The following is a 15,134-nucleotide window of genomic DNA, read 5'->3' as shown; positions in this document are numbered from 1 at the left end:
AAAATCCTGAGTTCAACTTCCAACATAGTTTGGATGTGTGTCCCTGCCCAAATCTCATGCTGACATGTAATCCCCAATATTGGAGGTGGGGTCTGGTGGGAGGTGATTAGATCATGGGGGCAGATTTCTCACGGATGGTTTATTACCATCCTCTTGGTACTGTCCTCTTGATAGTGAATGACTTCTCATGAAAGCTGGTCATTTAAAAGTGTGTGGCACCTCCTCGCTGTCTCTTTCTTGCTCTTGCTTTCTCTATGTGACGTGCCTGCTTTCCATTTGCCTTCCGCCATGATTGGAAGCTTCCTGAAGCCTTCTCAGAAGCAGATGCCGCTATGGTTCTTGTACAACCTGCAGAACTGTGAGCCAATTAAACCTCTTTTCTTTATAAATTACCCAGTCTCAGATATTTCTTTGTAGCAACGCAAGAACGGCCTAACACATCCTCTTTCTCCTCTATCTCCCGTCTTACCACCTTAATCCAGGCTGTCATCACCATTCCCCTGGAGTACTGCATCCTGTTTCTAAACAGCCCCTCCCTGCCTTCTGGCCTGGCCCCATTCTCTACACCCCAGCAGATGTCGACCCAATTAAAATCCTTCAAGGCTCCTCACTGAGCTCAGGATCAAGGTCAAACACCTTCACATGACCCCTCGTGATCTGCCCCTACTGTGTCTCCAGTGGTTATGACTCAGACGTTGATTATCCGGTGACTGGGGCAAGTCTCTCTGACTCAGTTCCCTTACCTGTAAAATTACACCTACTGCATAGGATTATTCTGAAGGTAAATATATGCACGCAAAACCATAGGAAACTGTTCGGTACTCAATGCATGTTGCCTGTTGGCTGACATTAGTATTTCTTGCCTCTCTTTCCCCAGCATGCTTGGTTACAGCCATGCTAGTTGCTTCTCAGCTGCTCCTGCCTTTCTCATTCTTGTTATTATTACACGTGTTCCTGCTTTCTAACTTTCTCTCTCTTTTCCTGGCTAACTGCCACTTACTCTTCATATCTGAATTGAAATGCTACCACCGACAAAAATGGTCTGGGTGTCTGCTACTAAAGTGTCTTTTACTTATGCTATGACAACGTGTTCTGGGTTGTATTATAATTGTGCTTGCATTTCTCTATCTCCCATCCTGGTCTTCATAAGGTTCTTGAGTCTGGGGACTCTCTCTTGTTCACTACTGAGTTCCCCCATGCCCAGCAAAGAAATGCAGAGGAGATGCTAGTATGTCATTGTTGAATGAATGAGTGCTTCTCTGCATTGACACATAAACGACTACATACTCTTCACTTAATACATGTAGAGTGCTTAGAACAATATGGTCTCATAGCAACTCCTCATAGCTGCTACATTATTACTGTGATGACTAGGATGGTAGATGTATGAACAGAAGAGTACTGTGGGGACCAGAGAAGGATCTGCTATTTTGTCTGAAGGTGTCAGCGCAGCCGTTAGAGAAAGGTGTTTTCCAAGCCATGCACGTTTGTGTGCTAAGCATTGGAAGCAAATCACCCCCAAAGATGCCTGAATCCTGAAATTTACAACCTGTGTGGTCCCCTCTCATTGGGTGTGAGCAGTAACTTCCTTAGACACTCACTGAGACTACCTAGTGACTTCCTTCTAAAGAATAGGATGGAAAACGTGATGGGATGGCACACTTGCAGGCCTAAGTTATGACAGACCCTGTCTTCCATGTTATTTGCACTCTCTTTTTTGTTCTCTCTGATGGAAGCCAGCTGCCATATTGTGAGCTGCCCTATGGAAAAGCCCACATGACAAGGAACTGAATCTTGTCAACAACTGTGTGTGAGCTTAGGAGTGCATCCTTCCCCTGTCAAGCCTTGGGATGACTGTAGCACCAGCTGACATCTAGACTGCAGCCTTGTGAGGGGCCCTGAGCCACAGGACCCAGCTAAACTACACCCATATCCCTGATCCACAGAAACTGTGAGATAATAGGTGGTGTTGTTCCAATTCTATGTTTCTAATAACTCTACATTTCAGAATTAATTGCTCCACAGCAATAGACAACTAATGCATTCTTTGGTCAAAATTCTTCCCCAAAAGGGAAGGCCTGAAATATATGTGTTATTTTGAATGGATCCAGCAACAGGTGGTACATTTTAAAGGGTGCACTTGGAGAAGTCAAACTGCTGTACTTTGGCAGGGAAGGATGGAAGAGCATCCATGGGTTCCTGGAGTCTCTGTCTGGGACTGGCACCTTTAGGATATTTCCTGGGATTTTTTGAGCAGCCTGTCACTTTTGCCAACATTCATATCCTATGCTGACACATGATTTTTAAATTTTCTGGTCTACCTGCTAAGCAAAGCTTTTTAGAAGACGATTCACGGAAATGACAGTTCTCTAATCTACATCAATGTTTTTCTTTGCCAAAAAAAAAATAATAACAAAAGGAGGTGGAGGAAAAGGGTATGATAGTAGCTTTTCTTTGGAAGAAGAAAGTTTTACCTTACAACAGTTTAAAAAACAACAAGAAAATCACAGCTTAAGAGGCCAAGAAACTTGCTTTCCTAGGTACTCAGTATAATGGCTAATTTTATGTCTCAATTTGTCCAGGCCATAGTGGCCACATGTGTGGTCAAACGTGTTTTTGGATGAGATGAGCATTTAAATAAGTGGACTTTCAGTAAAGCAGATTGCCTTCCACTATGTGGGTGGGCCTCATCCAATCAATTCAAGGCCTGAGTAGATCAAAAGACTGACCTCCCACAAGCAAGAGGGAATTCTGCCAACAGACAGCCTTTGGACTTGGACTGCAACAGTGGTTCTTCTCTGTTCCTGGCAACCCATCCTGCAGATTTTGGACATGCCAGACTCAAAAATCATGTGCATCAATTCCTTAAACACACACACACACACACACACACACACACACATGCACACACACACACACATCACGTTGGTTCTGCTTCTCTGGAGAACTCTTACTAATACACTCAGGATGATTTCAAATCAATCAACCAATCCGTTTATGTTAAGAATTTAAATTACCTTCAGAAAAAAAGGAACAAAGGTAAGAATTACCATAAATTTCTCCTCAGAAATTTTGTCAATTAAGAGACAATGGAATGACATATTTAAAAAGCTGAAAGAGGCTGGGCACAGTAGCTAATGCCTGTAATCCCAATCCTTTGGGAGACCAAGGCGGGAGGATCACTTAAGGCCAGGAGTTCGAGACCAGCCTGGGAAACATAGGAGAATTCACCTCTAATAAAAATGTTTTAAAAAGTAGCTGGTCATGGTGACATGCACCCATAGTCCCAGCTACTTGAGAGGCTGAGATGGGAGGACTGCTTGAACCCAGGACTTTGAGGTTGCAGTGAGCTACTAACACACCACTGCACTCCATCCCGGGTGACAGAGTAAGACCCTGTCTCAAAAAAAAAGAAAAAATGCTGAAAGAAAGAAACCATCAACCTAGAATTCTATACCCAGCAAAAATATCTTTCAAAAAATGAGGGTAAAATACTCTTTCAGACAAAGGTCAAGAGAATTTATTGCATGCTCATTTTATAAAAAATGTTAAAGGAAGTTCTTTAAGTAGAAGGAAAGTAATACCAGATGCAAACTTGGATCTACACAAATAAATGAAGAATGCCAGCAATGGTAAATATGTGGGCAAATATAAAATATTTTTTCTCAGTTTTTTGTTTCTTTAAAAAATATTTGGCCAGGTACAGTGGCTGATGCCTATAATCCCAGCAGTTTGGGAGGCCAAGGTGGGTGGATCATGAGGTCAAGAGATCGAGACCATCCTGGCCAACATAGTGAAACTCCGTCTCTACTAAAAATAAAAAAATTAGCTGGGCTTGGTGGCACGCACCTGTAGTCCCAGCTACTCGGGAGGCTGAGTCAGAAGAATCACTTGAACCCGGGAGGAGGAGGTTGCAGTGAGTCGAGATTGCGCCACTGTACTCCAGCCTGGGCAACAGAGTGAGACTCCATCTCAAAAAAAAAAAAATTGGCCAGATGTGGTTGCTCACACCTGTAATCCTAGCACTTTGCAAGGCCAAGGCAGGAGGATTGCTTGAGCCCAGGGGTTTGAGACCACCCTGGACAACATAGCAAAACCCTGTTTCTTTTCTTTTTCTTTTCTTTTTTTTTTTTTTTGAGACAGAGTCTTACTCTGCTATCCAGGCTGGAGTGCAGTGGCATGATCTCAGCTCACTGCAACTTCTGCCTCCTGGGTTCAAGTGATTCTCTTGCCTCAGCCTCCTGAGTAGCTGGGATTACAGTTATGCACTACCACATCTGGCTAATTTTTGTATTTTTAGTAGAGATGGGGTTTTACCATTTTGGTCAGGCTGGTCTCCAACTCCTGACCTTAAGCAATCCAGGCAGCTCAGCCTCCAAAAGTGCTGGGATTATAGGAGTGAGCCACTGCACCCTGCTGGTAAAACCTTGTTTCTACAAAAAATGCAAATATTATCTGGGTGTGGTGGTGCACGTGCCTGTAGTCCCAGCTACCTGGGAGGCTGAGGCAGGAGGATCACTTGAGCCCTGGGAGGTGGAGGTTGCAGTGGGCTGAGATCGCACCACTGCATTCTAGCCTTGGTGACAGACCAATACACACACAAAAAATTGATTCTTTACAGCAAAAATAATAACAATATTTTTATAATATAGACCCCTAGCTAGGGTTTTATAACCTATGTAGAAGTAAAATTTATGACAACAATAGCACAAAAAACAGGGGGCAGGAAATAGAAGTGTATAGTTTATTTTATTTTATTTATTTATTTATTTTTGAGATGGAGTCTCACTCTGTCGCCCAGGCTGGAGTTAGGGTGGCATGATCTTGGCTCACTACAACCTCCACCTCCCGGGTTCAAGCGTCAGCCTCCCAAGTAGCTGGGACTACAGGTGTGTGCCACCATACCCAGCTAATTTTTTGTATTTTTAGTAGAGACAGGGTTTCACCATGTTAGCCAGGATGGTCTCAATCTCCTGACCTCGTGATCTGCCCGCCTCAGCCTCCCAAAGTGCTGGGATTACAGGCATGAGCCACCGTGCCCGGCCTATTTTATTTTTGAGACGGGATCTCATTCCGTCACCCAGGCTGGAGTACAGTGGTGCCATGTCAGCTCACTGCAACCTCCGCCTCCCGGGCTCAAGCAATCCTCCTGCCTCAGCCTCCCAAGTAGCTGGGACTACAGGTACTCGCCACCATGCCCAGCTAATTTTTGTATTTTCAGTAGAGACACTGTTTTGCCATGTTGCCCAGGCTGGTCTCGAACTCCTGGACTCAAGTGATCTGCCTGCCTTGGCCTCCCAAAGTGCTGGGATTACAGGCATGGAGCCACCACGCCTGGTCAGAAGTATATTGTTGTAAAGCTCTTAAATTATATCTGAAATGGTATAGTAGCCACTGAATATAGATGGTGATAAGTTAAAGATTCATATTTTAAATCCTAGAACAATCACTAAAAGCATAAGACGAAGAGGTACAGCAAAGAAGCCAATAGTGGTGGTAAAATGGAATTCTAAAAAATGCTAAATTAATCCAAAAGGAGGCTGAAAAAGACAAAAGAAAGGAACAAAGAACAGATGGAAAAATAGAAAGCAAATATCAAGAAGGTAAACTTAAGCCCAACTACACTGATAATTACATTAAATGTAAATAGTCTATACATTCCAATTAAAAGAACCATAAATGCATACAATAAATGCAAAAATCCTTAATAAAACACGAATCAACAAGTATTTTTAAAAATACATCATGATCAAGTTGTGCTTGTCCTAGGAGTGCAAGGATAAATGACCATCAAAAAAATGTATCTGTGTACTTCACCACATTGATAGGCTAAAATAAGGATATTTCTGACTATTCAATGAATGCAGAAAAAGCATTGGATAAAGGCCACATCTATTCTTTAATTTGGTAAAAGTCATAGACAAAAGTCTTAGAGCAAACATCATACCTACTGTAGAAAATTTATATGCATTTCCTTGAAGATTGGGAATAATGAATAGATGCCTAATATCACCACTACTGGTTGACATAGTACTGGAGGTCCCAGCCAACACTATAAAAAGGGAAAGACAAATGAGGAGAGTTCTAATTTAAAAAGAAGAGACAGACCGAGTGTGATGACTCATGACTGTAATCCCAGTACTTTGGGAGGCCAAGGCGGGAATTTCACTTGAGTCCAGGAGTTCAAGACCAGCCTGGGCAGCATAGGGAGACCTCACCTCTATAAAATATTTGAAAATTAACCAGGCATGTCTATAGTCTCAGCTACCCGGGAGGTTGAGGTGGGAGGGTCACTTGAGCCTGGGAATTCGAGACTGCAGTGGGCCATGATCATGCCACTATACTCCAGCCTGGACAACAGAGCAAGAGTTCATCTCAGAAAAAAAGAAAAAGAGAGAGAGATAAAACTGTTTTATTTTCAGATGATGTGATAATATCCCTAGAAAACTCAACATAAATAAAAATAAAATGACAAACTAGTAAAATTAGAGAGTTCAACTAGGTGCAAGATATAAGATCAACCTACAAAAATCAATAGAATTTCTCTACTTCAGTAACAACCAAGTTGAAAATTTTAAAAAAACACACAAAATAATATTAAAAACTATAAAATACCTAATAATAAATCAATAATACACTACAGGTCAGGCATGGTGGCTCACGCCTGTAATCCCAGCCCTTTGGGAGGCGGAGGTGGGAGATTTGCTTGAGTCCAGGAGTTCAAGACCAGCCTGGGCAACATGGTGAGAGCCCACTTCTACAAAAAATAAAAAAAATTATCCCGGTGTGGTGGTGTGTGCCTGGAGTCCCAGCTACTCAGGAGGCTGAGATGGGAGGATGGCTTGAACCTAGGTGTTCCAGGTTGCACTGAGCTATGATCAGGCCACTGTACTCTAGTCTGGACTGGAGTGAGACACTGTCTCAAAAATAAATAATAAAATAATACTAAAGTCAACTTTTGGGAAGGACATTTTAAAACTCAGATAAATGTCCCACACAGAGGAGGAGCTGGACAGCAGAGAGAGCCTTCAGCTATGATATGGATCTGAAACCTGTGAGGAGAGGGGGACTGCGTGTGACTAAGGGTTGGAAGCGGCATTGCTAAACAAAATCTCAAAAACCCAAAGTGCAAGTCAAAAAGAAAAAGGAGTGAATTTGATAATCAAAATTAATGACTCTTTTCCAATGAGCTACACTATAGATAGTTAATAGGGAGATAATAAACTGGGAGAAGAGTCTCAGACTGCTTTGCAGTTCCAAGAGAGGTTTGATCAGGTCGATGAAGAGTTCTCGGGCCAATGTCCTCCACTGTCAAGGGTCCCACACCTCCTCAGAGCTATCCTGCGTTAGGGCCCCTGCTGTGCCCAGTCACGGGCTGGGAGTGGCTCACGAGATGTGTGGCTTCATTGCAAATGGGGTGTAGATCCAGAGCGGTGGCAGCTGGGCCTTCAACAATTAGCAGAAAAGCTGAATGGCACATTTTTCATGGCCTCTGCAGAGACCTAGAAGTGAAATGTAAAACATAAATTTATTTTTTAATGTAACAATATAAATATGAAACATACAAATGGCCAGGCATGGTGGCTCACACCTGTAACCCCAGCACTTTGGGAGGTCAAGGCAAGAGGATCGCTTGAGCCCAGAAGTTCAAGACCAGCCTGGGCAACAAAGTGAGACCTTATCTCTAATAAAATAAAATAAAATAATTAGCTGGGTGTGATACCACACTCCTGTGGTCCCAGCTACACAGGAGGCTAAGGCAGGAGGATGGTCTGAGCCCGGGAGGTCAAGGCTGCAGTGAGCCATGTTTGCACAACTGCACTCAATCCTGGGTGACAGAGTAAGACCCTGTCTCAAAAACAAACAAACAAACAAACAACAACAACAAAAAACCCCATACAAACAGAGAAAGCTTAAGCATTTGTGTGTGATTAAGGGTTGGAAAAGGCATTGTTAAACAAAATCTCAAAAACCCAAAGTGTATAGTGTATAGTGTAGTGTAGTGTATAGTATAGTGTAGTGCATAGTGTGTATAGTGCGTAGTGAATTGCTTGAACCCGGGAGGCAGAGCTTGCAGTGAGCCGAGATCACGCCACTGCACTCCAGCCTGGGCGACAGAGTGAGACTCCGTCTCAAAAAAAAAAAAAAAAAAAAAAGTGGGATTGGGATTACAGGCGTGAGCCACCGAGCCTGGCCTGTTCCTGTCTTTTGACCTTGAAGTAGAGGTTTCAAGGGCCCTCTTATCCATCCCACCTCCTGGGGACAGCAGAGTTCTTGAGAACTTGGGAGACAGGCCCATAAGCACAACCTGAGTAAGCAGGCGGTGTGGTGGAAGGAATGGAGGTATGCATTTGATAGGGGTAGTGGGCTCAGGGCAGGGGTCTTTTTGCCATCCTGGGGGTCCTAAAAAGACTTCCTGGTGGAGATCACATTGGAGTTGAGTCTTGGAGGAAGAACAGGTGTGATGTGGGTGAAGAAAGGAAAGCATGTTTGGCCATCTCCAGCCTCGATGGTGGTGTTGGTTGTCAGGAACAGAAGCGAACATCTTCTAGCTCAGGTAAAAGTAGAATTTGTGTGTGTGTGTTATTTTTATTTTTTAGAGACAGGGTCTTACTCTGTCACTCAGGCTGGAGTGCAGTGGCACGATCATGGCTCACTGCAGGTTCAACATTCTGGGGTCAAGTGATCCTCCTGCCTCAGCCACTCAAGTAGCTAGTACTTCAGCTGCATGCCACTGTGTCTGGCTAATCTTTATTTTTTGTAGAGATGGGGTCTTGCTATGTTGCCCAGGCTGGTCTCGAACTCCCGGCCCCAGGCAATCCTCCTGCCTCAGCCTCCCAAAGTGTGGGGATTACAGGCATGAAAAAGTGGAATTTATTGAAAAGATACAGGGGCATCTTCCAGACCTAAGCAGGCCTCCTGGGCAATGGGCTAGTCCTGCAGCTCTCCTTCCTCTCTGTGGCCACAGCTGCTCCTTGCTGGTTTGGGCATGCCGGCTTCCTCAGCAAGGCTCCTAGTAGCTCTTCCTGCTTAACCTCTGCTGTCCAGAGTGGTGCTGACGGCCATGGCTGGGTCCAACTCCATATGAACCCCCCCAGGGACCAGCACAGTCCCGCCTTATTGCATAACCCTCGAGGGCACCTGTTTGAGGTGTTTTCTAAGTGATCTGCCTCTCCTGGAGTACAGCAGTTTGAATGGTCCCCCTGCAGTTGTGTAAAGTTGCAATCCTCCACCAACACCATGTATCTCAGTCTTGGGGTCTCTCGGTTCTAATTCTCAAGAAGGAGAATCAGGCTGGTTCAGTGTGAGGAAGGTTTTCAGCCCTGATCCAGGTCCAATCAGGGGGTTGGGGGTGTGTGTGTGTGTGTATGTGTGTGTGTGTGTGTATCTGTGGGTTTGGCTTGATGTGTGTGTGTGTGTGTGTGTGTGTGTGTGTGTGTGTATCTGTGGGTTTGGCTTGATTCACAGTGAGTAGCCTGGGCTGAAGATAGATTCTCTAAGAAGGGGCTGTAGCAGTTGGGATCCTGGTGGGAAACAGTAACACCCTCCAAGGGATAATTAAAAAGACAGGTGTGAGCAGCTTCAGAGAAAAAAGAGGTGCTGAAGCACCTAAGGACTAGTGAGCTGTGGGGATCCGTGATCACCTCTGGGTGTGAAAAGTGAGTGGGGGAAACCATTACTAACACCACGGGTGAGACAGGCCACGCAGCAGGAGCTGTGCCTCACGGCCAGGCCAGGCCAGGTGGGAAGGCTCTTCCTCGCTCACCTGACCCTGCCGCACTTTGGTCAAATCCAAGAGGAGGGAGAGGACATGCTTAGCGGGTGTGGCTCAGAGGGGAGCCCAGACAGAGAAGGGCAAACGGAGAATGACCAGCACAGGCTGCAGAGGCCATCTGGTGCGGAGGGAGAGGAGACGGCCTAAGCCAAGGTAGGGCGGTGTGAAGCCTCTGGGCGTTCCTTGGTACTGGAGGACACGGTGCTAGAAAGCAAGGGGAAACTGATGCGCTAGAGAGGCCGGGGCTGCAGAGGGCCTTGGGGGCTGCCAGCAGAAGCTCAGACCCCATCCTGCGGGGGTTGCCCACCAACGGCAGGGCACCTGGCCAGGAGGCTGCTGCACAGAGAGCTGAAAGCTAAAGCCAAAAGGCAATTCAAGCGGATGAACTTCGGGCACAGAGTGGGAAATATTTTTGGCTGGTGGTGTCCTTCCAAAGGCCTCTGAATCCCACCACATCCAGAAGGCCTTTTGTTGATGAGGGTCAGAAATCCAATGAAACTAGCATTGGCCAAAATAGTTATTGCTTCATGGAACTTGGAAGGCCAGGGCAAAGCTGGTTTCAGGGACTCCGGAAATGCAGGAGATAGCAGCATGAATTTCTCTTTCCATCTCTGTCTCTTTCACTCTTTAACTCGACTTGTCACACACCTTGCTGTAGGACGGGGGAAGGGAGAGGCCACAGCTTCCTCATCGCAGTTTAGTGACCCCAAAGGAAAGAGAAAAATTGCTTTTTTTTTTTAAACACCCATCTATAAAGACCCAGAGGAGCACTCTAGTCCAGCTCAAGTCACAGGTCCACTGTAGACCAACCATTTCAGCTTGTTAAAGCAAATGAAATATGGCCTGAGAAGGACTCCGTACTTTTATATTTGAGTCCTTGTGGACGAACCGTAACCTAGCTTAATAGGCACGCAAAATTGAAAACCTAACTTAGTAGTATGCACTTGTAACAATAGCTGAGTGTTGGCCAATCCCAGCGGCCATACTTCAACCACTCATAGACTGCTGAGTGTTCAAACTGTTCAAATACGGCAAACGCCGAGCTGCAACCAATCTCACTGTTTCTGTACCTCACTTCTGATTCCTGTATGTCACTTTAGTTTAGTTTTTTTTTTTTTTTTTTTTTGGAGACCAAGTCTCTCTTTGTTACCCAGGCTGGAATGCAGTGGCACAATCTCAGCTCACTACAACCTCTGCCTCCCAGGTTCAAGTGATTCTCCTGCCTCAGCCTCCTGAGTAGCTTGGATTATAGGTACCCGCCACCACGCCTGGCTAATTTTTGTATTTTTAGTAGAGACAGGGTTTCACCATGTTGGCCAGGCTGGTCTCGAACTCCTGACCTCAAGCCATCTACCTGCCTTGGCCTCCCAAATTGCTAGGATTACAGAAGTGAGCTACTGCGCCAGGCCACTTTACTTTGTCTATAAATTTGTTCTGACCCCGGGAGTCTCTCTGAATCTGTTGATTCTAGAGGCTGCCTGATTCATGAATTCTCTTTTTCTTTCTTTTTTTTTTTTTTTTTTGCTCGATTAAATTTAATCTAATTGAACTTGTCTTAAGCTTTCTTTTAACAAGCTCCATGATGGGCATCTCAGATTGGCCAGGCCTGGTCCACCTGCTGTGGCCTGGGGCTGGTACTGTGATTGTGAGGACCATCAGCACTGAAAGAATTGAGGATGGGCGGTTCACCTGTTCAGAAGGCGAGGGGGAGATGTCACACAGCCAAATGCAGCAGATGTCCTCCACCACGTGCATCCTGTCAGCACGCCCGCCTATGGAGGGCTCAGCCCTTTCATGCTCAGACAGGCCGGTCAGGAAGCCCCGTCACAGGGAGGCTCCAGGGTGGTGTATGGAAGGTAGTGGTCTGAATAGTGTCTGTTGAGCAAATGACAAAAATCAACCCCAGAGAAGCAGAAAACATCTAGGTGGCCCAGCCTGGTAAGTGGCAGGAGATGGTAGTAGAGCTGTCTCTGCCTGTCACCTTCAGCCTCTTCTTGCAAGCCCCTGGTGGTCCCATATTGAGGTAACAATGCCCATTCTTCTTCCAGACAGTGTAGAAACAGTGACAATGTGGTTATGGCCCCCTGGAAAGTGAGCAGTTGATGAGCTCTGCTTATGGCTGCTCTCCTCCATGGCAGAATGCATTCCTGCAGGATGAGGTCATGGAGCCAAGGAAGGTCAGGGTGTGGGGGGGCTTCCTGGGTCAGAGCTCCAGAGCAGTGCTGCTCCCCCTGCCCTCCTCCTTAGGTCTCCCATCACTGGTGGTCTCAGAAATCTCTGAAGATTTCAGAAATCTTGAATCCCTTCCCTGGTGTGAATGCAAAGGGAAGAGTCTGTTCCTGTAAAGTAGTTTGCAGATTGGTGGAACTGAGAGAACCCAGACCCTTCCCCGTTTCCCTCGACCTTTCCATCTCTGGACCCCATGCAGACTATGCTTGGGTGGTGACACAGAAGAATTTAGTGTTTGGTGGACCCGTTTCTGGAAGTGATGGATGCTGACAGCTGGCACTTAACAGTTATCAAAAATAACATTAACTGGAGTAGGCTCTGTGCCACTTAGAGCTTAATGACTCACTGACTTCACCCCAAATCCCCATGAACTAGCATTATTATTAGCCCTATGTTGCAGGTGAGGAGACTAAGGCTCATCCAGTTAGAACATGATGGCTGAAACCTACATTCAAACTCTGGTCTGTTTGAATCTAGAACTCTTAGCTTCCCCCCAGCGACTGTGTTAGAACAGAGGAATCATCAGTTCAATTTTCACCTCCCTCCTAAGCCTTCGTGGCTCTAGACGTATGGTTATAAAGGTTGTTCACTGCTCAAGGGCCCAGGAGGGTTTGGGGCTGGTGGATAGGGGCCAAAATACAGCCCAGGGGTGCCATTTTTCTAATTCTCACCAAGGCCCTATACTGACTAGCAGCGGCTCTACCCGATACCATCCAGGGCCTTTTCAGAATTCTGAAGGCACCCACGGTGCTGGCTACTCACACACCTGGCCCCCCTTAACCATGGCTGCCTTGCACTGTGACCCAATTGGTTCCCATGACAAAACCTGTTATTCCCATAACTCACCCAACACTTTTTTGCCCCTAGGCTCTTGCTCCTTTGGTTCCCTCTGCCTGGAATGGCCTTCTCTCCCGAGCCGCCTCGCCTGGTTCTATTAGGTTGATGCAAAAGTCATCGCGGTTTTAATGGTAAAAACCGTGATGACTTTTGCACCGACCTAGTATTTCACAAAACCTACATTTCCTTTAAAACCCAACCTGATGCCTACTCCTTCAAAATGCCTTTCATATCCCACAGTTCGACTTCATCTCACTCTGCCTCCTCTCACAGGGCTTTGTGTTCGTGCTGGATGGAGCCCATCATACTCAGCCTCGCAATAAAGGCCACCTATCTAGTGAGTGAGCATTTACTAGGCGCAGGACTCTGGGCTAAACGCTGTCCATACTTCATCTCCTTGATTCTTCACGTCACAGATGTCATTATGCCCATTTCACAGAGGAAGAAACTGAGGCTTGGAGGACTTAAAGCCTTGTTTCAGCAGGAAACGGAATAAGGCGTTCTGATTTTCAAGCTGTCTCCTATTAGGGCTGGTTTCCCCTAGATGTCATGAGTAGGTGTGAAGTGTGAGCTACTTGAAGGCAGAAGCCAGGGGGGTCCCCCGCAATCCCGGAGGCGGGCTTCTGAAAATGTTTAGCCCAGGAAGGAGGGCTGCCCTGGCCCGCAGCTTTCCGCCCCTTCCCAGGTGAGCTGCAACTCCAAAGCTCCCAAGCAGGCCCTTCACCCACGCGGGCCCCAGCAGCTCCTTGGGAAACAGGATCGCTGCTCTGAGGCCGCCCACAGAGAGACCCTCGGAGGGCGCCACGCAAGCGAAGGGCAGAAACGACTCGGGGGGCAGGGGCAGGGCGCTCCAACCACACCCAGGCGCCGCCAGCTTGTTTACGCCTCTCCGCCGCGTCCCCCCGCCCGCCAGTCACGTGACCGCCCGCCCCGCCCCCTCGGGCTCTCGCGTGGCTCCTCCCGCCGCGCCGGCCCTTCTTTTTGCCTCCTTCGCGGAGTCACAAGATCTCTTCGCAGCCTCCTTTCGGATCCTTCCGCCCGGCCCCGCCCCCCTCCATAAAAACCCTCCTTACTTTTTTTCTCGTCCAACCCACATCGTCAGTTATGAGTGGAAGAGCCTCTTCCTTCCGGCGGGGCTGCCGAGCGCGGCCGTCTATCCTTCCTTTCGAGAAGGAGGGGAGGTCCGGAGGGGGACTCTTTTTCGTGGCGGAGGCCGCCGTCGGCCTTGGCCCTTTCACGACGGGGGAGGTGCTGTACGTCCAAGATGGCGGCGCCCTGTAGGCTGGAGGGACTGTGAGGTAAACAGCTGAGGGGGAGGAGACGGTGGGTGAGTATGGGGGTGTCTCCCCCTCCTTTTTATGGGGGCTTCCTGGGGCAGCCCCGGCACCATGACTCCAGCCGGGGAGGCTCGGAGGGGCTGGAGCAAGAGACTCACTTGCTTGGTAGGGATCCCGGGGAAGGGGGGTTCGGAGAGCTCTCCCCTCCCTCTTATTACACGCTATCTCCGGCTGGCCCGGCCGGGACTGGCGGGTCCCTGGGGAGGAGAGGCGAGCCGGACGGAGCACTTCGCCCCTCCTTGGCCCCCGAGGGGACGGCTGCACCCTGGGCCTCGGTCCCTCGGGCAGGGGCGAGGTGGGCCCCTTCGTCAGTCCCTCACTTGGTGGGGTGACAGGTTCACGCTAGGTGCGGAGGGCAGGGTAGAGACGCTTGGCGGGAGGGGAAGGGTCGCGAGGGTGGGGCTGGTCCCAGAACTTAAAGAGAGGGGTCGGGGTATAGGGGCGTGGAGAATGAATGGAGGTCGCCTGTGGGGATCAAGGACTCGCCTGGATTCGGTGTCTCCGCTGAAATTTGCATGACTCGCTCTGGGTGTACTTGTGGGTGTTTAATTGGTGGTGAAAGACAGTTACCTTAAAGTGGGCAAAGGGGATTCCTAAGAGACAGCTATTTGCAGAGCCCCTCCTAGGCGTTCATTCATTCATTTGAGGAACTGGAGGATGAAGAGCCTGCAATCGGAGGGACCTTGTAGAATTAAAGCTCTTTCTTTGTGTTTCCTGTTAAAGAGTTTTGCTTTGTGTGTTTTGGATGTGTGGTGAGGACTTGGGAGGGGACGCGGTCCTCCTAAGAACAACAGCTAACGTTAATGGAGTGCTCTCTGTGTGCCAGGCACTGTGAAAGTGCTTGGCAGTCATTATCTCCTTTGGTCCTCACGACAAAGAGAAGAGGCAGCCACTGTTAACACCTCCAATCTTCTCAAATGAAGAAACTGAGGCCCGGAGAGAGCAGGGTACTTTGC

At 47.6% G+C, this 15,134-nt stretch overlaps 2 protein-coding genes and 1 non-coding gene across 51 annotated transcripts in view, besides 7 other annotated features; 1 reads left to right on the top strand and 2 right to left on the bottom strand.

Moving 5' to 3' along the window:
- GFI1B (growth factor independent 1B transcriptional repressor) overlaps positions 1 to 13,180 on the bottom strand; it is a 47,904-nt gene extending 34,724 nt beyond the window's left edge. Inside the window, exon 1 of the mRNA NM_004188.8 lies at positions 13,042 to 13,180. The gene's annotated coding sequence lies outside the window, so the exon portion shown is untranslated. The remainder of the gene's footprint in view (positions 1 to 13,041) is intronic.
- MIR548AW (microRNA 548aw) lies at positions 12,940 to 13,004 on the bottom strand. Its single transcript, NR_049862.1, has one exon. It is a non-coding gene; the product is annotated as a microRNA 548aw (primary transcript).
- Positions 13,333 to 15,134, top strand: part of TSC1 (TSC complex subunit 1) — a 54,030-nt gene continuing 52,228 nt past the window's right edge. For 25 of the 49 annotated variants that reach the window (NR_176217.1, NR_176214.1, NR_176218.1 and 22 more), the window contains exon 1: positions 14,095 to 14,168. The gene's annotated coding sequence lies outside the window, so the exon portion shown is untranslated. Of the gene's footprint in view, positions 13,527 to 14,094; positions 14,169 to 15,134 lie in introns of those variants that run through there. The other 24 variants (NR_176216.1, NM_001406620.1, NM_001406618.1 and 21 more) reach the window with 3 other exon arrangements.
- Positions 13,378 to 13,517: an enhancer, noted in NCBI's record as "active region_29225". NCBI's record gives its function as "activates an Ori minimal core promoter by ATAC-STARR-seq in GM12878 lymphoblastoid cells {active_cell/tissue: GM12878}" and the evidence as "EXISTENCE:reporter gene assay evidence [ECO:0000049][PMID:35858748]".
- Positions 13,378 to 14,223: a biological region, named in NCBI's record as "NANOG-H3K27ac-H3K4me1 hESC enhancer GRCh37_chr9:135819875-135820608".
- Positions 13,490 to 14,223: an enhancer, noted in NCBI's record as "NANOG-H3K27ac-H3K4me1 hESC enhancer chr9:135819875-135820608 (GRCh37/hg19 assembly coordinates)". NCBI's record gives its function as "activates a minimal SCP1, AML or CMV promoter by ChIP-STARR-seq in primed H9 embryonic stem cells {active_cell/tissue: H9 hESC(primed)}" and the evidence as "EXISTENCE:reporter gene assay evidence [ECO:0000049][PMID:30033119]".
- Positions 13,698 to 13,777: a silencer, noted in NCBI's record as "silent region_20440". NCBI's record gives its function as "represses an Ori minimal core promoter by ATAC-STARR-seq in GM12878 lymphoblastoid cells {active_cell/tissue: GM12878}" and the evidence as "EXISTENCE:reporter gene assay evidence [ECO:0000049][PMID:35858748]".
- Positions 13,878 to 14,177: an enhancer, noted in NCBI's record as "active region_29224". NCBI's record gives its function as "activates an Ori minimal core promoter by ATAC-STARR-seq in GM12878 lymphoblastoid cells {active_cell/tissue: GM12878}" and the evidence as "EXISTENCE:reporter gene assay evidence [ECO:0000049][PMID:35858748]".
- Positions 14,308 to 14,367: a silencer, noted in NCBI's record as "silent region_20439". NCBI's record gives its function as "represses an Ori minimal core promoter by ATAC-STARR-seq in GM12878 lymphoblastoid cells {active_cell/tissue: GM12878}" and the evidence as "EXISTENCE:reporter gene assay evidence [ECO:0000049][PMID:35858748]".
- Positions 14,428 to 14,487: a silencer, noted in NCBI's record as "silent region_20438". NCBI's record gives its function as "represses an Ori minimal core promoter by ATAC-STARR-seq in GM12878 lymphoblastoid cells {active_cell/tissue: GM12878}" and the evidence as "EXISTENCE:reporter gene assay evidence [ECO:0000049][PMID:35858748]".

This window comes from Homo sapiens, chromosome 9, assembly GCF_000001405.40.
Source record: "Homo sapiens chromosome 9, GRCh38.p14 Primary Assembly".
In the NCBI taxonomy this organism is placed as follows: Eukaryota; Metazoa; Chordata; class Mammalia; order Primates; family Hominidae; genus Homo; species Homo sapiens.
The sequence above is the reverse complement of the archived record's forward strand: the minus strand, read 5'-3'. Positions and strand labels throughout refer to the sequence as shown.